Genomic DNA, 22535 nt, shown 5'->3' with positions numbered 1-22535 from the left:
TAGCTTCATGGTTTGATCTGGAAATGTGACAGCTTCTCAAATCTGAGGCTTGCCACGACAGGAAAACACAGTGGATCTATGTCTCAAGTCAATGTTTCAATTATTTATTTATTTATTTATTTTTAGACGGAGTCTTGCTCTGTCGCTCAGCCTGGAGTGCAGTGATGCCATCTCAGCTCACTGCAAGCTCTGCCTCCTGGGTTCATGCCATTCTCCTGCTTCAGCCTCCCAAGTAAGCTGGGACGACAGGCGCCCGCCACCACGCTCAAGTAATTTTTTTGTATTTTTAGTAGAGACGGGGTTTCACCGCGTTAGCCAGGATGGTCTCGACCTCCTGACCTCATGATCCACCGGCCTCGGCCTCCCAAAGTGCTGGGATTACAGGCGTGAGCCACCGCGCCCAGCCTGTGTTTCTTAGGTTAAGATTTGATAACCTCACACCCACTAGGATAGGTATGGCAAAAAAGATAATAACAAGTACTGGAGGGATGCAGAGAAACTGGAGCCCCCCCCCAACTCACGGCTGTGGGAATGTAAAATGGCGCAGCTGCTTTGAAAAACAGTCTGGCAGCTCCTTGAAAGTTTAAACATGAAGTTACTGTATGACCTGGCAGTTCTAAACCTAGGTACGTATCCAAGAGAAGAGAAAACACATGTCCACACAAAAACTTGTACACAAATGTTTACTGCAGCACCATTCATAAGTTAAAAAGTAGAAAAAAAATTTTTTCTATCAACATGAAATACGAAGAGAGAGACAAAATGTGGACTATCCATGTAACACAGCATTATTTGATCATAAAATGAAGTATTGATTCATGCTCCAACATGGATGAACCTTGAAAATATTATGTTGAGTGAAGACAGCCAGACACAAAAGACCACACATTGTATAATCTCATTTATATGAAATGTCCAGAACAGGCAAATCTAGAGAGACAGAAAGCAGATTAGTGGTTCCCAGGGACTAATGGCAGTGAGAGAAAATGTGAAGTGACAGCTAATGGGTATGGGGTTCCTTTCTAGGAAGAAGAAAATGTTCTAAAACCAACTATGGTAATGACTGCACAACTCTGAACATTCTAAAAACCAATGAGTTGTACACATTATTATTATTATTATTATTATTATTATTATTTGAGACAAGAGTCTCATTCTGTCACCCAGGCTGGAATGCAGTGGCACAATCTCGGCTCACTGCAGCCACTGCCCTCTGGGTTCCAGTGATTCTCTTGCCTCAGCCTCCCAAGTAGCTGGGATTACAGGTGTGTGCCACCACGCCCGGCTAATTTTTGTATTTTTAGTAGAGACGGGGTTTCACCCTGTTGGCCAGGCTGGTCTCCAACTCCTGACCTCAGGTAATCCACCTGCCTCGGCCTCCCAAAGTGCTGGGATTACAGGCGTGAACCACTGCACCCAGCCCTTGAATCGTTTCTCAGCCACAAAAGATCTCAGTCTTGTCCTGACTCTCTGTAACTAAAGATCAAGATGTGCCAAAAGCCCAGGCAGCTGTACCCACACACACCCAGACCCTGTTACCTCATCAATGGCAGACTCTTCAATCCGCCGGGGGGCGTCAGAAGACAACAAGCCATGAGTTGCCATCACAAAGATCTTATATGCACCTCTTTCCTTCAGGGTCTCTGCTGCAGCAAGAAAGCTGTCAACATCATCAATGATGTCATCCTGCCAAAGCACAGATGGAAAAGAATGTATATGAGCACTTCTACAATAATAGGTTAGACAACCAGGAAAAAAAAAGGGTCTGCCTACATTTACCGTGAAAAATCTGCTCTTCCACTTGGCCTTGTGCAGACGGCATGGCCCCATGTCCCCATCACCGTGCCCCATGGCAGCCCTCCAGTACTTTCACACGAGCCTCTTCCTGCACAGCACCTGCCACTATTGGAGCTATCTCCCACCACACTCCAGGCTCCCAGGGGTAGCACTGTTTTCTGCACCATAACTGGCCAACATTGTGCTGTCACAATGCAGGTCACACCAGAAATGATGGAGGTATAATTTTCTTTTTTTGTTTTTAATGCACAGAAAAAGTGTTAAAAGATGTTTTTGACTCTGGGTAATAGAATTATGGGTGCCTCTTTCCCCCCACTTCTTCTTGCTACTTTCCTTATTTCCAAATTTTCTCCACTGAGCATATGGGAAATATGTTTTTTTACATGTTATTACAATGGAAAAAATAATAATGATTATTGTTTTTAATAATAAAATACCCAGTTCAGTGGTTTCCAATCTAGAGACTAGATTCCCAGGCTCCCAGAGTTATTTTAAACCCATTATGGCATCAAACGTTGTCTAGAGTTGAATAAATATTCGTGTCTTTATTTTACATACATATTATTACTCTTTAATTGCATACTGATGTTACTATGATCAAAAATATACATATAAAGGCCAGGCGTGGTGGCTCATGCCTGTAGTCCCAGCACTTTGGGAGGCTGAGGTGGGAGGATTGCTTGAGCTCAGGGGTTCAAGACCAGCCTGAGCAACATGACGAAACCCAGTCTCTACAAAAACAGAAAAGCAAAAATTAGCCATGCATGGAGGTACGCACCTGTAGTCCTAGCTACTTGGGAGGCTGAGGCAGGAGGATTGCTTTAGCCAGGAGGTAGAAGTTGCAGTGATCTGTGATCAAGCCACTGCACTCCAACCTGGGCAGCAGACCCAGACCATACCTCAAAAAAAATACATACACACACACACACGCTACTTTAAAAGTCCTACTAGTAAAATGGTACAGCCACTTTGGAAAACAGTTTGACAGTCTCTTATAAGAGTATATCTGCAACTACCATGCAAACCAACAACTGCATTTGTAAGTGCAATTATCCCAGAGAAATTAAAACTCTGTTCACACAAAAACCTATACATGAATGTACATAGCGAGTTTTATGTATAATAGCCCCAACCTGGAAATCATCCAAATGTCCTTCAACAAATAAACTCTGGTACCTCTATACCATGGGATACTGCCCAGCAATAAAAAGGAATAACATATTAATATACAAAACAACCTGGATGGATCTCAGGGGAATCATGGTAGGTTAAACAAAACTCAAAAGGTTATATACCATAGATTCCATTTATATGACATTCTTGAAATAATAATTAGAAAGACAGGGGACAGATCAGTGGTTGCCAGTGCTGTGGCTTGAATGTTTTTGTCCCTCCAAAATTCATGTGTTGGAAACTTATTCCCCAGTGCAACAGTGTTGGGTGGTGGGGTCTTTGGGAAAGTGTTTAGGTTGTGAGGGATCCACCATCAGGAATGAATTCATGTCGCTATAAAAAGGCTTGTGGGAGTGGGTTAACCTCTTTCCTGGCCTTCTGAAGGAAAGTTCATTCCTTTTTGTCCTTCTGCCTTATGCCATGTGAGGACACAGCAAGAAGGCCCTCACCAGACCAAATGCTGGTGCCATGATTTGGACTTACAGCCTCTAGAGCTGTTAGAGAATAAATTTCTTCTATTCTTTATAAACAACCTAGTCTCAGGTGTTACAGCAGCACAAAGTGGACAAAGACACAAGGGGTTGCAGATTGGGTGGGAAGGATGTCAGTGTAGCTATGAAAGGAAGCATGAGGGTGCCTTGCAGTGAAGGAGCAATTCTGTGTCCTGACTGTGGTGGTGGTTCCACAAAGCTACCCATGGTAAGACTGCATTCACAAACACAAACACACACACACACACACACACACACTCACACTCACTACATGCACAACTGGTGCTGTCTGAAGGACCTCTGTGGCTGTGGCACCGAGAATTTTCAGTCTGTGTTATTGTACTATAGTTAAGCAAGATGGAGGATGCTGGGTAATGAATACACAGGATGTCCCTGTGTATTGCCCCCTACTTCCTGTGGATCTATAATTACTTCAAAATAAAAACGTTTTTTTAAAAAATGCACTGGCGGCTGGGTGCAGTGGCTTGCGCCTGTAATCCCAGCACTTTGGGAGGCCAAGGCGGGCAGATCACGAGGTCAGGAGTTCGAAACCAGCCTGGTGAATATGGTGAAACCCCGTCTCTACAAAAAAAATACAAAAATTAGCCGGACGTGGTGGCGTGCACCTGTAGTCCCAGCTACTTGGGAGGCTGAGGCAGGAGAATTGCTGGAACCCAGGAGGTGGAGGTTGCAGTGAGCTGAGATCACGCCACTGCACTCCAGCCTGGGTGACAGAGCGAGACTTTGTCTCAAAAAAAAAAATAGAAATAAATAAATAAATAAATAAATAAATAAATAATGCAGTGGCACTAGAACGGGGGGAAAGGTGCTACTGAATCCACAGCACCTTGTTACTATAGACTTTGCCAACTAAGGAATAAGTAATGGACAGCTATTACCCTGGAGGGTGACGTGAGAGATTTTCTTATTTTTTTTTTGAGACAGAGTCTTGCTCAGTCGCCTGGGCTGGAGTGCAGTGGCACGATCTCGGCTCACTGCAAGCTCCGCCTCTCATGCCATCTCCTGCCTCAGCCTCCCGAGTAGCTGGGACTACAGGAGCCCACCACTACGCCCGGCTAATTTTTTGTATTTTTAGTAGAGACAAGGTTTCACCGTGTTAGCCAGGATGGTCTCGATCTCCTGACCTACACCCGTCTCGGCCTCCCAAAGTGCTGGGATTACAGAAGTGAGCCACCGTGCCCGGCCCCAGAGAGATTTTCTAACCTGAAAAGGGTGCGTACAAAATTATCAAGCACTGGGGATAATGTGGGGCACCCACTATGGAACTTGGGAAATGGGTGTGACCACTTTGGAAACAATTTGGCAGCACCTTGTAAAGTTAAAAATGTGCATACCTTCAGACCCAACAACCCCACTCCCAGGCACCTTGAAACTCTCACACTTTTGCACCAGAAAATAGGCACGAGGATGTTCAAAGCAGTACCATTGCCTCAATCAGTTGTGTAGCAGTTATACCAAAGACACAACACATAGCAGTGAAAAAGAATGAAGTACAACTTCCTGCCACTACACAGGTAAATTTCAATAACAGTGTTGAGCAAGAAAGTCCCAAAGTACACAAAGACATCATTTACATAAACATCAAAGACAAGAAAAAAAGGCAGCATTTAAGGCCACAAGCCCTCATGGCTGACTACAGGATCAAGATGGGCAGCTTTCACATCAGTGACAACCTCTGAGGCAAAGAGACCAGGGTAAGCCCAGAGGAGGCCTCTAGGTACCTGGTGATGATCTATGCCTCAAGTGAGCTAGCGGGTACCCAGTGTTCATTCTATTCTTTAAAATATACAGGCATGAAGTGCACTCTTTTTGTGCACTGGTCTTATGATGTGTGAAAGGATGCATGTTTCAAACAGTTATAATCAACTTTGTAGTTTACTTTTTTTTTTTCTTTTGAGATGGAATCTCACTCTTTCGCCCAGGCTAGAGTGCAGTGGCACAATCTTGGCTCACTGCAACCTCCGCCTCCCAGATTCAAGCGATTCTCCAAGATCAGCCTCCCAAGTAGCTGGGATTACAGGTGTGCGCCAACATGTCCAGCTAATTTTTGTATTTTCAGTAGAGATGGGGTTTCACCATGTTGGCCAGGCTGGTCTTCAACTCCTGACCTCAGGTGATCTGCCTGCCTTGGCCTCCCAAAGTGCTGGGATTATAGGCATGAGCCACTGTGCCCAGCTTGTACTTTACTTTGATCACAGAACAATATCTCATGTTATGACAGGATGACTTTTTTTTTTTTTTTTTTTGAGACACAGCCTCACCCTGTCACCCAGGCTGGAGTGCAGTGGCATGATCTCGGCTCACTGCAACCTCTGAGCCCCAGGCTCAAGTGATCCTCCCGCCTCAGCCTCTCAAGTAGCTGGGACTGCAGGTATGTGCCACCAAGTTCAGCTAATTTTTGTATTTTTTGTAGAGACAGGGTTTCACCATGTTGTCCAAGCTGGTCTTGAACTCCTGAGCCCAAGCGATTGGCCTGCCTTGGCGTCCCAAAGTGCTGGGATTACAGGCATGAGCCAACGCGCCCAGCCAGTAGTGAGCAATTTTAAAATAAACAATAGCATTTTCCAATTTCTGGGCCAAAGCAAACATTTAGCACAAGGCACAAATTTAATAAGAATTATCTGGCCATACTACTATCCTTAGGCCTTTATATGCCCAGAATTAACAAATAAATTGGCCAGGTGCAGTGGCTCACGCCTGTAATCCCAACACTTTGGGAGGCCGAGGCAGGTGGATCACTTAAGTTCAGGAGCTTGAGACCAGCCTGGCCAACATGGTGAAACCCCATCTCTACTAAAAATACAAAAATTAGCCAGGCGTGGTAGCAGGCACCTGTAATTCCAGCTACTTGGGAGGCTGAGGCAGGAGAATCGTTTGAACCTGGGAGGCAGAAGTTGCAGTGAGCCGAGATTGTGCCACTGCACTCCAGCCTGGGCGACAGTGAGTCTCTGTAATAAAATCAATCAATCAATCAATCAACAGAATAACAATGGCAAATACTAGAATTAATAATAAAAGAGGTCTACATACCACGATGATGGCAATCCTTCCTCCAACATCACCCACAACCGTGATTGGGGGCTTTTCTTTAGGAATCAGCACTGGTTGGAATAAAACACACACACCAAAATTTTTATATTAAAAAGTAAAACAAAACTTTAAAGAAGTTAATATCTCAAGATAAAAACATTCAACCAACTAGGAATACAAGGGAATTTCCTCAATCTGATTAAGGGCAACTACAAAAACCCACAGCTAACTTGATACTTTATGGCCGAAGGCCAAAAGCTTTCCCCTAAGATCAGCAACAAGACAAGGATGCCCACTGCACCACTGCCATTCACCATCATACTGGATACTCTAGCAAGGGTAATTAGACAAGAAAACGAAATGAAAGGCATCCAGATCAGAAAGGAAAAGTAAAACTATCTCTATTAGCAGATGACATGTTCCTACATATTGAAAATACCCAAGAATCCACAAATCCACCTACCAAAGCTAATAATATATGAATTCAGCCAAGTTGCCAAGTACAAAATCAACACACAAAATCAGCTGCTACACAGCAGCACTGAACAATCAAAAGAGGGAATTGAGAAAGCAATTCCACGCCAGGCGTGGTGGCTCACGCCTGTAATCCCAGCCCTTTGGGAGGCTGAGGCGGGCGGATCACGAGGTCAGGAGATCGGGACCTTCCTGGCTAACATGGTGAAACCCTGTCTCTACTAAAAATACAAAAAAAAAAAAAAAAAAAAAAATTAGCCAAGTGTGCTAGTGGGCGCCTGTAGTCCCAGCTACTTGGGAGGCTGAGGCAGGAGAATGGCGTGAACCTGAGATGTGGAGCTTGCAGTGAGCCGAGATCATGCCACTGCACTCTAGCCTGGGTGACAGAGCGAGACTCTGTCTCAAAAAATAAATAAATAAAAATAAATAAATAGATAAAAATAAAAAAGTAAAAAAAACCCCTACAGAATGGCAGAAAATATTTGCATATCATGTATCTGGTAAGAGTCTAGTATCCAAAATATATAAAGTAGGCTGGGCATGGTGGCTCATGCCTGTAATCCCAGTACTTTGGGAGGCCGAGGTGGACAGATTGCCTGCCTGAGTTCAGGAGTTTGAGACCAGCCTGAGCAACATGGCGAAACCCTGTCTCTATAAAAAAATACAAAAATTAGCAGGGCGTGGTGGTGCATGACAGTAGTCACAGCTACTTAGGGGGCTGAGGTGAGAGGATCACTTGGGCCCGGGAGGTCAAGGCTCCAGTGAGCCACGATTGCACCACTGCACTCCAGCCTGGGTGAGAGAGTGAGGCCCTGTCGCAAAAAAAAAAAAAAAAAAAAAAATTATATATATATATATGCGCCATATGCCAAAATATATAAAGAACTTTTATAATTCAACAAAAAAAGACAAACCTAGTTCAAAAATGGGCAAAGGATTTCAACAGATATTTCTCCAAAGAAGATATACAAATGAAGTCATTAGCCATTAGGGAAATGTTTATCAAAATCACAATGAGATGCCACTTTATGCCCACTGGGCTGGCTACAATAAAAAGTAGAAAATAAGTGTTGATGAGGATGTGGAGAAACTGAAATCTTTGTACATTACTGGTAGGAATATAAAATGGTGCAGCTGCTGTGAAAAAAGAGTCTGGCAGTTCCTCAAAAAGTTAAACATACACCAAGTGACGCAGCAATTCCGATACCAGGTATAGACCATGAGAAATGAATCATCTATCCACACAGAAAACTCATACATGAATATACAGAGCAGCATAGCCAAAAGTGGAAACAACCCAAATTCCTTTCAAATGCTGACAATGAAATATTATCCAGCCACCAAAAGCAATGAAGTACTGACAAGTGCTATCACATGGATGAACCTCAAAAACATGCTCAAAGAAAGAAGCCAGATACAAAAGCCCACATATTATATGATTCCGTTTATATGAAGTGTCCAGATTAGGCAAACATCCACAGAAACAGAAAAGAGGTAAGTGGTTGCCAGGGGCTGGGGGATGGGGGCATGGTGAAACTACTTAATGGGTGCAGGGTGTTCTTCCGGGGTAATGAGAAGTTTTGAAACTAGAAAGAAATGGTAACTGCACAAAACTGTGAATATACTGAAAGCCAGTAAATTTTATACTTTAAAATGGTTAATTCTATGTTATGTGACTTTGACTTCAATTTTCTTTTAAGGCAATGTCACAAAAAGAAAAAGTTAAAATACTGTTCTAGATTGGGACTTTTCAACTGCTGAGATCTTGGGCCAGACACGTTTATGCTGCAAGGGACCACCCTACGTACTGTGAGAAGTTTAGCAGCATGTTTGGCCTCTACTCACTAGATGCCAGTAGCCACCCCCTTGATTCTGACAATCAAAACTATCTCCAGACATTTCCAAATGACCTCTAGGAGACAATATCCACTCCCTAATTGAGAACCACTGCTCTAGATTGAAAGAGATGAAAGACATATGACAACCAGAGGCAATGTGTGACCCCAGGTGAGCATCAGGAGAGGGCAAAAAAGTGTAACAAAACAAAGCAAAGCAAGATAAATTCCAGAACTGAAGTGACTTTTTACATTTTCAACAGTCCTACTCCCAGGACACTTGACCTCAATGCCGGTGAAAAAGTATAATGAATCACCCTCTAGGAAATCAATTTGACAAAAAGCCTTATATTCATACCTTCTGACTCATTAATCTCACTTTTAGAAGCTTGAAATGAAATAAGCCAAAGTATGGGAAAAGTGTTTTATCCACATATATTTCCTGCCACATTATAAGGGCAAAGAACAGAAGAAAACATAAAAACCCCAAATTAGGCTGTGGTTGGGCAGTCTAAGCCACATTCATACGATGGGTTATTAGCCATAAAAATGCTGTTTACAAGAGGCTGAGGTGGACAAATCGCTTGAGCCTGGGAGGTCAAGGTTGCAGTGAGCCGTGATTGTCACTGCACTCCAGCCTGGGTGACAAAGTGAGACCCAGTCTCAAAGAAAAAAAAAAGAAATTGCTGTTTCCTGTCAAAGTTTCTGGTGACCTGAGATGACACGTCGGGCAGCTGGGAGAAGGAGGCAGCAACATGCACAATTATGTATGAAGCATGCATCGCAGCTTTATGAAAATAAGGGTGAAAAACCAAAAAGAGGCTCACCAAATTAAAGTGGTGTGTCTTTGAATAGTGGCATCAAGCACTAATTATTATTTTCTTCTAACTTTTATGGATAATATTTTCAAATATTATATATAGTGCTTATATTCTGAAAAAGTATTTTCATTGTTTTTTAGTAGGCATATTTTCATCTATAAGAAATCAGAGGATACAAAATAATTTTTAAAATCTAATACTAAATAACAAAATCTTTATATTCGAGATGCTACAGGAAGAATGCTTTCTTTTCCCTTCATATATTATTTGCTAGTACCTTAAAAAAGTATTCTATGTAGGGTGTCCAATCATCAAATGTATAAAAACAATCAAATATTTAGGATCTATGAAACTAAAATTCTACTGCATTCCCAAAGACGGCCTGTAGTGATCACTACTTGAGTCAAAACATAAACATAGAAACATTATAATTAAAATTATGAATGAAACATAAAGATCCCACGAGTAAAGAAATATTAGAAAGAACATAGAGATCATCCAGTCCTATGAACTCATTTCCAGATGGGAAACCTGTAGTTCAGTGTCTGCAGTCCAGAGTCCACTCCCAAAGGCCACACCAAAAGCTAACACCCAGCAAGTTCCAAAGAAGCAGCGTTCATCTAAAGACTGCCAACGCGTTCCTCATCACAGCCCATGTGCTTACAGGACTGAAGAGGAACATATATTCTTCCATGCTCCCGGGCATGGCTCATCTCACCAATGGTCCCAGCCAGCCCTTGCAGGGTTCTGCTGAGGTTCCTAGACACAAGCCCCTCTGAGGCCAGGCAAGGATTCTGAAAGGGAGCGGCAGCCCCAGGCCTACCCCCCAGCACCAACAGCCTGGGCACGTGAGGCTGTGAGAAATGCACACACAAGCAAAAGGCTTTGAGGTCCTGAGCCAAACGCTTTATTAACACCCTCCCAGCCCCAAATCCTGAACCCTGGCTCTATCTCACTGCCTTCCTCCTCCTTAAATCCCCATTACTAAGTCCAAGAGACCCAAGAACACAGTGGAAAAAGCACAGGTTTTAGTCAGACATGTCCAGCTTGTCACTATGTGACTGCAGGGAAGTCGCTTTCTCTTTCTGATCCTGTTTATCTATAAAGTGGAAAATCATCACTCAATTAAAAGGGCTGTACTGGAGACTAATACACTAAAAATGTTCATTCCCTCCTGCTATCTTTTTTAGAGACAGGGTCTCACTCTGTCACACAGGCTGGAGTGCAGTGGCACCATCATGGCTCACTGCAGCCTCGACTTCCTGGGTTCAAGTGATCCTTTCACCTCACTCTCAAGTAGCTGGGATTACAGGCACACCACCATGCCTGGCTAATTTTTTTTTTTTTGAGAGGTAGTCTCACTGTGTTGCCCAGGCTGGAGTGCAGTGGCACAATCTCAGCTCACTGCAACCTCTGCCTCCTGGGTTCAAGTGATTCTCCTGCCTCAGCCTCCTGAGTAGCTGCGATTACAGGCACGAACCACCACACCTGGCTAATTTTTATATTTTTTAGTAGAGACAGCGTTTCGCCATCTTGGTCAGTTTGATCTTGAACTCCTGACCTCATGATCCACCCACCTCGGCCTCCCAAAGTGCTGGGATTACAGGTGTGAGCCACTGCGCCCAGCCGCCTGGCTAATTTTTAAACTTTTTGTAGAAACGGGGTTGTGCTATGTTGCCCAGGCTGGTCTCAAACTCCTGGGCTCAAGCAAACCTTCCACCTTAGCCTTCCACAGTGCTGGGATTAAAGGAGTGCGCCAAAGTACCTGGCCTCCCTCCCATCGTCTTTTTAACATTTCTCAATGTGCTCTGTCACTTTCATTCCCATTGTTACCAACCCCTAGAGCAATAACGCACAACAGAAATGAAAGCCACATATGCAATTTCAGATTTTCTAGTAGCCACATTACAAAAGCACAAAAAAAGGTAAAATTAATTTTAATAACATGTTTGATTTGATTCAACATATCAAAATATTACCATTTTAACACAGAGTCAATAAAACTTCACTAATGAGATACTTACATTAAAGTTTTCAGATTAGGGGTGTGTCCTTCACACTCCCACTGCTCCCCACCCCGTTCCCAGTGTGCAGGAGCCACATGTAGCCAGTGGCCACCCGACTGGACAGCATAGCCCAAGAGATCAAGCTCTCCTCCCATGTGCCTGCTCAACTTCATCAGCCTCCCGGATCTGGCCTCTGCACTTGCAGCCCTATCCCAAACACAGATGCAGGCCTGGCCTGCTGAACACTAAATGGCCCGGATCGAGAGCCTTTGTGGGCTGCCTTCTAGGACACGAGTGTATTTACTGGTATTCAAAGTCCTCCTTGGTTGGCTCCCCGCAGATACTGCTATCTTAGTCCATCTCTTCCCTCCAGGGGCCTCCTGGTAGTCAGGCTAGTGTCTTCCTGGCCACACCATGGCCCATCACTGAACGTCTCACCACTGCAGTCCTATCTCACTCACATAAGGCAGGCAGTGCTGGGTCCTGAGGGCTCGTCCTGGGCTTTCCACCATCTTGGCCTATCATGGGTCCACTCTGAGGATGGCCTCTTGCTGTCGCTCTTTTTCAGAAAAACAACAGGCCCAAGAACACACAGCTGATAAGTGATGGAGCCAGATGCAAACTCAAGCTCAGTCCCCCACCCCTTAGGAGATTTAACCCCTGCCCAGATGGCCTTCCCTTTCCACCTCAGTTGGGATCTACAAAGTATAGCTGGAATCCCAGCTGCGTGCATGGCTATCCCAACCACACTAGTTCCTTCTCTGGTTTTTTTTTCCCTCTATTTATAAATGAGCAAACTCCTGGGCAAGGCAAAAACCTAACAGTCCAGAATATACCTCTGTGACCTAAAAATTATTTTGAGCTGAAAGCATTTGAGTTCCTGAAGTCCCTTATATGCTGAAAAGCAGAGCCTCACAAAATAACTCCAAAGAACTCAACTGTGATAAATCTCCTCCCTGGGAACACCAGGGAAGACTGACTCTTATCGCTTAAGACCAGAAGAAGTCCAGACCACACCTAAACAGACGCTGTCAAAAACTAGCCTCTCTCCCATCTTTTCTCCTCAGCGCCCACTTCCCATCAGTCCCCTCCCTCCTCCTCTTCCCCTATTAAGGAGTCATCTTGGCCGGGCGCCTGTAATCCCAGCACATTGGGAGGCCGAGGCGGGCGAATCACTTGCAGTCAGTTCGAGGCCAGCCTGGCCAACATGGCGAAACCCTGTCTCTACTAAAAAAAAAAAAAAAAAAAAAAAAAAAAAAAAAAATAATAATAATAATAATAATAATAATAATAATAATAATACCAAAATTACCTGGGCATGGTGGCATGTACCGGTAGTCCCAGCTACCCAGGAGAATCGCCTGAACCTGGGAGGCCGAGGTTGCAGTGTGCCATGATTGCACCACTGCACTCCAGGCTGGGCAAAAGAGCGTTTCAAAAAAAAAAAAAAAGAAGTCATCTGTTTTCCCACAGGGGCCTTTTCTGCCCCTCCTGTTCCCCTATTAAGATGCTATATAAGCCCCAAATTGTAACCACTTCGAGTCACATTTTTGTGACTCACAAAAGAGTTTAATCACACACATCTGTATGTATGTGATTAAACTGCCTTTCCTCTTCCTCATCTGTCTTTTGCCAGTTTAGTCCATATGCCACCAAACACTGAATCTATGAGGGCAGGGGGTTAGGGTTCTTCCCCAACAACTCGAAGGTGGCATTTTTTTTTTTAATTAAGAAGATGTTATTAAGGCATGGGGAAGTTTCTTAAACACAAAAACAAATTCATGCATAACTCTACCACCCCAACCCAACTACATTCATTCTTCCTATTTCCTCCTGGTCTTTGCATAGACAAAGAGAGTGCTGTGGTCTGAAGATGGTGTCCTCTCAAAATGCTATGTTGGAACTTAATACCCAATGTGATAGTATTAACAGTGGGGCCTTTGGGAAATGATTAAGGCTCAAGGCCTCTGCCTTCATGAACAGGATTAGTGCCCTTACAGAGAGCTGCCTTGCTCCTTCCACCATCTGAGGACACAGTAACAAGGTGCCACCTCAGGAGCAGAGTGAGCCCTCATCAGACACCAATCTGCTGGTGCCTTGATCCAGGACTTCCCAGTCTCCAGAACTGTGAGCAATGAATTTCTGTTGTTTATAAATTACCCAGTCTGGCCGGGTGCAGTGGCTCATGCCTGTAATTCCAGTACTTTGGGAGGCTGAGGTGGACGGATCACCTGAAGTCAGGGGTTCGCGACCAGCCTGACCATCATGGAGAAACTCTGTCTCTACTAAAAATACAAAAATTAGCCAGTCGTGGTGGTGCGCGCCTGTAATCCCAGCTACTCAGGAGGCTGAGGCAGGAGAATCGCTTGAACCCGGGAGGTGGAGGTGGAAGTTGCGGTGAGCCAAGATCGTGTCATTGCACTCCAGCCTGGGCAACAAGAGCGAAATTCCGTCTCAAAAAAAAAAAAAAAATACCAAGTCTAAGGTATTTTGTTATAGTAGCCTTAACAAACTAAGACAGAAATTGGTACTGAGAAGTGAGTTGCTGCTGTATTAAATACCCACCAATGCAGGAGTGGCTTTGGAACTGGGTAATGGGCAGAGGCTGGAAGAGGAAAAGGCTAGAAAAAGACTGTATTGCTATGTACAGACCGTAAAGGGGAGCTCTGGTGAGAGTTCTGCTTTGGTTTGGATGTAGTTTGTCTCCACTAAAACTTATGTTAAAAATTTGGGCCAGGCGCAGTGGCTCACGCCTGTAATCCCAGCACTTTGGGAGGCCGAGGTAGGCAGATTGCCTGAGCTCAGGAGTTCAACCAGCCTGGGCAACAAGGTGAAACCCCATCTCTACTAAAATACAAAAAATTAGCCGGGTGTGGTGGCATGCACCTGTAGTCCCAGCTACTCGGGAGGCTGAGGCAGGAGAACTGCTTGAACCCAGGAGGTGGAGCTTGCAGTGAGCCAAAATCGTACCACTGCACTCCAGCCTGGGCGACAGAGCAAGACTCCGTCTCAAAAAAAAAAAAAAATTGATCCCCAGTGTGCGCTATTGAGAGGTGGGGCCTAGTGGGAGATGTTTGGGTCACAGAGGCAGATCCTTCATGAATGGATTAATGCCTTCCTATGGGGGTGAGTGAGTTCTTGCTCTCAGGGCACTTAGTTCCCATGAGAACAGGTTGTTATAAAAATGAGTTTGGCTTCCCAGGCTCTCTCGTTTCCTCTCTTGCCATGTGATTTCTCTGCACCCGCCTGCTCACTTTTCTTCTCCACCATGTTTCAACCTAGTGTGTGGCCCTCACCAGAAACTGCCAGATGTGATGCTATGCTCTTTAACTTACCAGCCCGAAGAACTGTGAGCTAAATAAAGTGTCTTCTTTATAGAATACCCAGTCTTATATAGTCTGTTATAGCAACACAAAACAGACTAAGACAGGCTCAGAAGAAAACAGCTGTAAAGAAAGCCTCAATCTTCTTAGAAATGATCTAAGTGGTCATGATCACAATGCTAGTAGAAAAACAGACAGTAGGCTGGTCATGGTGGCTCACACCTGTAATTTCAGCACTTTGGGAGGCTGAGGTGGAAGGATCGCTTTGAGCCCAAGAGTTCAAAACCAACCTGGGCAACATGGCAAAACTCCATCTCTACATAAAATACAAAAATTAGCCAGACATGGTGGCACATGCCTGCAGTCCCAGCTATTTGGGAGGCTGAGGTGGGAGGATCGATTGAGCCCAGGAGGTCAAGGCTGCTGTGAGCTGTGATCACACCACTGCACTCCAGCCTGAGCAAGAGAGTAAAACACTGTCTCAAAAAAAAAAAAAAAAAGGTCGGGTGCAGTGGTTCATGTCTGTAACCCCAGCACTTTGGGAGGCTGAGGCAGGCGGACCACTTGAGTTCAGGAGTTTTGAGACCAACCTGGCCAACATGGTGGAATGCCATCTCTATTAAAAATACAAAAATGAGCCAGGTGTGGTGGTGTGCACCTGTAGTGCTAGCTACTCAGGAGGCCGAGGCATGAGAATTGCTTGAACCCGGGAGCTGGAGGTTGCAGTGAGCCGAGATTGCACCACTGCATTCCAGCCTGGGTGACAGAGTGAGACTCCATCTCAAAAAAAAAAAAAGGGCAGTGAAATAGAATCTTTGGCAAAAGAGGGTGCATGGCTGCTCTTGACTGCTTATACTAAAATCCAAGAAGATGAATTAAAGATGAGATTTATCATCAAAGGGGAGGTAGAACTTAAATATTTGGAAAATTATCAGCCTGGCCATCTTGTAAAGAATGTAAAAGCAAGGCTGGATGCAATGGCTCAGGCCTATAAGCCCAAGAGTTTGGGAGGCCAAGGAGGGAGGATTGCTTGAGCCCAAGAGTTTGTGACCAACCTAGGCAACAAAGCAAGACCCCGTCTCTACCAAAAAAAAAAAAAAAATTAGCCAGGCCTGGTGCACACATCTATAGTCCCAGCTACTTGGGAGGCTGAGGTAGGAGAATGGCTTGGGCCCGGGAGGTGGAGGCTGCAGTGAGATCTGATCGCACCACTGTACTCCAGCCTGGAAGACAGATCAAGACTCTGTCTCAAAAAAAAAAAAAAAAAAAAAAAAAAGCAAAAACATGTTCAGGACAGAACTCCAAGTGTGTAGCCAAGCAAACTTTTCTTTTTTCTTTTTTTTTTTGAGATGGTGTCTCACTCTGTTGCCATGCTGGAGTACGGTGGCACAGTCTTGGATCTCAGCTCACTGCAACCTCCAACTCCCTGGTTCAAGTGATTCTCCTGCCTTAGCCTCCCGAGTAGTTGGGATTTAAGGCACGCACCACCATGCCCAGCTAATTTTTGTATTTTTTGTAGAGACGGGGTTTCATCATGTTGGCCAGGCTGGTCTTGATCTCCTGACCTCGTGATCCACCTGCCTCGGCCTCCCAAAGTGCTGGGATTATAGGTGTGAGCCGCCGCGCCCAGCCACCAAGCAAACATTTGATAAGGAGATTAGTATGGATAGAAAGAAGCCAGACGGCCAGGAGTGGTGGCTCACACCTGTAAGCACTTTGGGAGGTTAAGGCGGGTGGATCACTTGAGCTCAGGAGTTCAAGACCAGCCTGGGCAACATGGTAAAACTTTGTCTCTACAAAAAATACAAAAATTAGCCAGGTGCGGTGGCAAGTGCTTGTAGTTCCATCTACTCATGAGGCTGAAGTGGGAGGACTGCTTGGGCCCAGGAGGTGAGACTGCAATGAGCCATGATCGCACAACTGCACTCCAGCCTGGGTGACAGAGTGAGACCTTGTCTCAAAAAAAAAAAAAAAAAAAAAAAAAGAACCAGACGCTATTCATCAAGACAGTGACTCAATGACCCCAAAGGCATTTCTGAGATCTTTGTGACTGCCCATCTCATCATAAGCCTAGAATGCCAGGGTCTTGGGGGCAGAACGATTTCAAGGCTCCACTTCCCACATTCCAGAATACTCCTTACCCACTCCAGCTATAGCTCAAGCAGGTCCAACTATAGCTCGGGCCACCCCTCTGGAAGGCACAGGCAACAAACCACAGTGGTGTCCGTGCAGGGCCATCTCCACAGTGCACAGAGTGAATGAGCTGTGGGGGCACATCTACCTCTACCCAGACTTCAAAGGATGCCCCAAAGAGTGCCAGGGCCCAAGCAGAGAACTGTCACAAGGGCAGGGCCACCAGAGAGACCCCACTAGGGCAATGCCCAGTGGAGTTGTGGGGCAAGACCACCCCAAGACCCAAGACTGGTAGAACCACTAGAGTGCAACTCCAGCCTGAGAGATGCAGGCATGAGAATCCAGTGACTGAGAGCTGCTGCATGGGCTGCTCCCAGCAAAGCTGTGGGAGTGGGGCCATCCAGAGCTTTGCAAGACCAACCCCTGCCCCAGTTTTTGTGGAAGGCGGGGCTTTGAGTCAACTTAAGCCTTAAGATTTAATGTTGTTTGTCTGGTTGGGTTTTAGACTTGGTCAGGACCTGTCACTCCTTTCTTTCTTCCTACTTCTCCCTTTTGGTCTCGAACTCCTGGCCTCAAGCAACCCTCCCACCTTGGCTACCCAAAACGCTGGGACTACAAGCGTGAACCACCACACTGGGCCTCACTTCTCCTTTTTGGAATGGGAATGTCTATCCAATGTCTGTCCCACCATTGCATTTTGGAAGCATACAACCTGTTTGATTTCACAGGCTCACAGCCGGAGAGAAACGTGCGTCAGAGTGAATCCCAGAGCTGGAGTCTTACCCATATTTGATTTAGATGATATTTAGATGGGACTTTGGACTTCAGACTTTTGAGGTGATGCTGAAATTAAGTTAAGACTTACCCGGAGTTAACATTTTGGGGGCTATTAGGATAGAATGAATGTATTTTGCACGTAAGATGAACATGAATTTTGAGGGGCCGGGGCAAAATGCTATGGTCTGAATTTTTGTGTCCTTCCAAATTCATGCTGGAACCCACTGTGGTGGTATTAAGAGGTAGGGCTTTTAGGTGACTAGTTTGTTAGGACTCTGCTCTACGAAGGGGGTCAGTGCCCTTGTCAGAGAGGCTTGAGGGAGTCTTCCACCTTTCTCCACCACATGAGGATGCAGCAAGAAGGTACCATCTACGAGGAACAGGCCCTCGACAGACACCAAATCTGCTGGCGCCTTTATCTTTTTTTTTTTCTGAGAAGGAGTTTCACTCTTGTTGCCCAGGCTGGAGTGCAATGGCGCGATCTCGGCTCACCACAACCTCTGTCTCCCGGGTTCAAGCGATTCTCCTGCCTCAGCCTCCCAAGGAGCTGGGATTACAGGCATACGCCACCACACTTGGCTAATTTTGTATTTTTAGTAGAGAGGGGGTTTCTCCATGTGGATCAGGCTGGTCTCGAACTCCTGACCTCAGGTGATTCACCCGCCTCGGCCTCCCAAAGTGTTGGGATTACAGGCGTGAGCCACCGTGCCCGGCCCATCACGGGGTCAGTGCTGGCGCCTTTATCTTGACCTTCACAGCCTCTAGAACTGTGAGCAATAAATTTGTTGTTTATATTACCCAGTCTAAGGTATTTCATCACAGCAGCCTGAACTAAGACAAATAGGTATACAATCTTATATTCTGCCTTGTTCATATATATTCCATATATTTTTCTCGTTTCCAGATAGTCTTGATTATTTCAAAGGGCTGCATAATTAGCTGTACTGACACAGTATAATTTACCAAGCCCTACACTCTGGTAAACCATTTAAACCTTTCTAATATTTTGCATTAAAAACAACATCACAGTCAATAACTTTGTATATAAAAAGCTTTTTGCTTATGTTAAACTACACTCTAGTATATACTGCTGAATGAATGAATGGACTTCCCTGAAGCATTGCAACTGTCTCAATAGTCCAAACATTTTCACAGGTCTTGCAAAGAAGGACAGACTGCTTCTAAACGGCCTTACAATTTACAAGGTAATCAGAAATGCATTCGCTACTATCTGGCCAAGAAAGGTGTTAATGAGTTTTTGCCAACTAAAAAAAAACGAAGAATGAGGAAAAAAACCACACAGACAACAGTGTAGTCAGCCTTAAAATCAGAGGAAAGTGGGAAAGAGGCAGCAGCACACTTACTGGGGATCTCCAGGCTGGGGTGGATGGCAGCCACACTTCTGACCATGGGTGGGGAATGCCGTCCATCCACCAAGTCCGACTCGGCATCCTGCGCCTCTCCATGAATCACTGCAATTCCCAGGCGCAGGCGCTCAGCAAAAGACTGTGCCCTGAGGGAAAACACCAGACACAAGCTCAAAACTCATGCAGCCCTTGGTTCTGCTAATGCCTAGGGGACAAAACATTAAGAGAACATAAGTAGAATGTTGTCTCCCAAAGGACTAAAGAAAAGAGAGAATAAAACAGCCTTAGACTCTTAGAAACCAGGACTAACTGTAGAGACCCCACATGCCAAACACTTCCCTCTGCAGCAGCACCAAAGAAGGGCAGCAGCCTGGCCTGGTCTGCAAGCCACTGGCCGGGAGAGCCTGACTGAGTGAAGGAACCTCCGCTCAGCTCTGTCTCACCTAAAGCTGCTAATTCTACCTGCCTGCCTACCTACCAGTGAGAACCAACTACATGGGGCAAAGGGCATAAAATGCTCACCAAAGTATTAAGCACAAATTTCTTAATAGTTTTAGGGAGGTAAAACTGAGATATGAGAAACTGTGCATATCTAAAGTATATAATTTCATGAGCTCTGAAGGCTGTATGTGCCCATATAAGCATTAGCACAATCAAGATAAGGAACGTCATCACCACAAGCATCTCCTTATGCCCCTTAGTGATTTTTCACTAAGTGTTGCCCCAGGCAACAGCTGATCTGCTTTCTGTCACTATAGTTTCACCTATCTAGAATTTCACGTAAGTGAAATCATAAAGTTGCCTTTTTTTGTCTGATTTTTTTTTGAGATGGAGTCTTGCTCTGTCGCCCAGACTGAAGTGTGGTGGCAGGATTTCTCAGTTCACTGCAACCTCTGCCTCCCGGGTTCAAGCGATTCTCCTGCCTCAGCCTCTCAAATAGCCAGAACTACAGTCATGCACCACCACATCTGGCTAACTTTTTTGTATTTTTAGTACAGATGGGGTTTTACCATGTTAGCCAGACTGGTCTCGAACTCCTGACCTGAAATGATCCACCCACCTCGACCTCCCAAAGTGCTGGGATTACAGGTGTGAGCCACTTGCGCCTGGCCATTTTGTCTTATTTTACGCAGCACATGTTTTGGAGATTCATCCATGGAATAACATATCAATAGTTCATTCCCTTTCATTGCTGAGTAATATTCTGCTGGGTGAATATATCACAGTGTATCCATTTATGTATTGCTGAGCTTTCCGGTTGTTTCTAGTTTTTGGCTGTCACAAAGCTGCTGTGAACATTCATACACAGATCTCTGTATGGGCACATGCTTTCTTTCCTTCTTTCTTTCTTTTTCTTTTGAGACAGAGTCTCACTCTGTTGCTCAGGCTGGAGTGCAGTGGTGTGAACCTCCACCTCCCAGATTCAAGCTATTCTCCTGCCTCAACCTCCCAAGTAGCTGGGATTATAGGCACGTGCCACCACGCCTGGCTAATTTTTGTATTTTTTGTAGAGACGGGGTTTTGTCATGTTGGCCAGGCTGGTCTTCAACTCCTGACCTCAGATGATCTGCCCACCGTGGCCTCCCAAAGTGCTGGAATTACGTGTCCAGCCACATGCTTTCTTATCTCCTGATAAATTCCTAAGAGTGGAATGGCTGGATCATATAGTAGGTGTATATTTAACTCTTTATAAAAAGGCCACATAGGCCGGGCGCAGTGGCTCACGCCTGTAATCCCAGCACTTTGGGAGGCCAAGGTGGGCGGATCATGAGGTCAGGAGATCAAGACCATCCTGGCTAACACGGTGAAACCCCGTCTCTACTAAAAAAATACAAAAAAATTAGCCGGACTGGGTGGCAGGCACCTGTAATCCCAGCTACTCAGGAGGCTGAGGCAGGAGAATGGCGTGAACCTGGAAGGCGGAGCTCGCAGTGAGTGGAGATAGTGCCAATGCACTCCAGCCTGGGCGACAGAGCGAGACTCCATCTCAAAAAAAAAAAAAAAAAAAGGCCACACTGTTTTCCAAAGTGGTTATACCATATTACAGTCCCATGAGCAGAACATGAGAGATCCAGTTCCTCCACATCTTCACCAACACTTGGTACGGTAGGTAATTTGTGTCTTGTTTTCTCCTAACCAGTCTGGATAAAGGTTTATCAATTGCATTGATTTTCTCAAAGAATCAGCTTTTTAGCTTTTTTCTGGTTTTTGTTTTCTATTTCATTGATTTATGCTTTAATCTTTTTTTTTGAATGTTGAATTCAGTTCTTTATATAACATCCCTTGTAAAAACAAAACAGAATAAAAACAAACCGAAAAGGAGGGGCAGGGTAAAATTTGAAAAGGAAAGGAAAGGGAGGAAAAGGAAATAAAATAAGATGATTTATTGCTTCTCCTCAGCATCCTCCTTGGTTTCCTCCTCCACCAAAAGAGCTTCTAGCTTTTCCGCCACTTTTTTTGGCATGATCGTTTTTGCCCGATCCTTTCTTTTCTCTCCGATCTCTTTCTTGCATTCTTCAAACTTTGTTTTGAATTTCTGTGCATTCTCAATATTCAGGAAGTGGATGGCCAGCAGCTCTGGCTTGGGGCACTCGTTGGCGAAGTCGGCGTGGGTGTTCCAGACCCAGGCATGGTCACTACCCATGTTGGGCTTCAGCTCCATTATCAGCGTGAAGAGTGGTTAGCACAGATCTTCAGGGTCTTGTCCCTCCGCATGAGGAGGCAGATGGTCCCTTTCTCCTTGTGTTTCAGGAGCTTGACGTTGCCGGTGCCTCACTCCTTCCATTCTGGGAGATCCTTCTCTGAGGCAAATCAGAACAGTTTCGTCTGCATTTTTAAAAGTTCTTCATCTTCCTCCAGTGTTTTAATTTCTTGCTCAGGAAGAGAAACTATTGGCTCAAACTGAGGGTCATGGTTGGACTCATCTGCATTCTCAGTGGAAGTATCATGGTCCTCATGAGTGTCCTTGGCGTGCTGCGAAAGCGGCAGCTCGGCTGAGTGGGTCGTCACTGGCTTCAAGGCCTCCCGTCGCTGGCTCCGTGGCCTCTTGCAGGAGCTTCTTCCCACCGCATCTGGCTTTTTTTTGTTGTTGAGATGGAGTCTTGCTCTGTCGCCCAGGCTGGAGTGCAGTGGCGTGATCTTGGCTAGTGCGGTCACATGATCTCGGCTCACTGCAGCCTCCACCTCTGGATCAAGTGATTCTCCTGTCTCAGCCTCCCGAGTAGCTGGGATTACAGGGTGTGCCACCACGCTCGGCTAATTTTGTATTTTTTGTAGAGATGGGGTTT

General features: G+C 45.2%; 1 protein-coding gene and 1 pseudogene across 20 annotated transcripts in view, besides 2 other annotated features; both read right to left on the bottom strand.

The window, feature by feature from the left end:
* Positions 1-22535, bottom strand: part of PRPSAP2 (phosphoribosyl pyrophosphate synthetase associated protein 2) — a 74989-nt gene that overhangs the window by 791 nt on the left and 51663 nt on the right. For 17 of the 20 annotated variants that reach the window (NM_001243942.1, XM_047436415.1, NM_001353106.2 and 14 more), the window contains 3 exons: positions 19246-19394; positions 6513-6583; positions 1540-1686 (listed from right to left, as the gene is read on the bottom strand). In NM_001243942.1, the coding sequence (NP_001230871.1) occupies positions 1540-1686; positions 6513-6583; positions 19246-19394 (367 nt within the window). Of the gene's footprint in view, positions 1-1539; positions 1687-6512; positions 6584-12109; positions 12208-19245; positions 19395-22535 lie in introns of those variants that run through there. The other 3 variants (NM_001243940.1, XM_047436417.1, XM_047436416.1) reach the window with 3 other exon arrangements.
* Positions 1491-1640: an enhancer, noted in NCBI's record as "active region_11845". NCBI's record gives its function as "activates an Ori minimal core promoter by ATAC-STARR-seq in GM12878 lymphoblastoid cells {active_cell/tissue: GM12878}" and the evidence as "EXISTENCE:reporter gene assay evidence [ECO:0000049][PMID:35858748]".
* Positions 8222-8301: an enhancer, noted in NCBI's record as "active region_11844". NCBI's record gives its function as "activates an Ori minimal core promoter by ATAC-STARR-seq in GM12878 lymphoblastoid cells {active_cell/tissue: GM12878}" and the evidence as "EXISTENCE:reporter gene assay evidence [ECO:0000049][PMID:35858748]".
* LOC100419620 (RAN binding protein 1 pseudogene) lies at positions 21498-22324 on the bottom strand (annotated as a pseudogene).

The sequence above is a fragment of the Homo sapiens genome, chromosome 17 (genome assembly GCF_000001405.40).
Source record: "Homo sapiens chromosome 17, GRCh38.p14 Primary Assembly".
Lineage (NCBI taxonomy): Eukaryota > Metazoa > Chordata > Mammalia > Primates > Hominidae > Homo > Homo sapiens.
The sequence above is the reverse complement of the archived record's forward strand: the minus strand, read 5'-3'. Positions and strand labels throughout refer to the sequence as shown.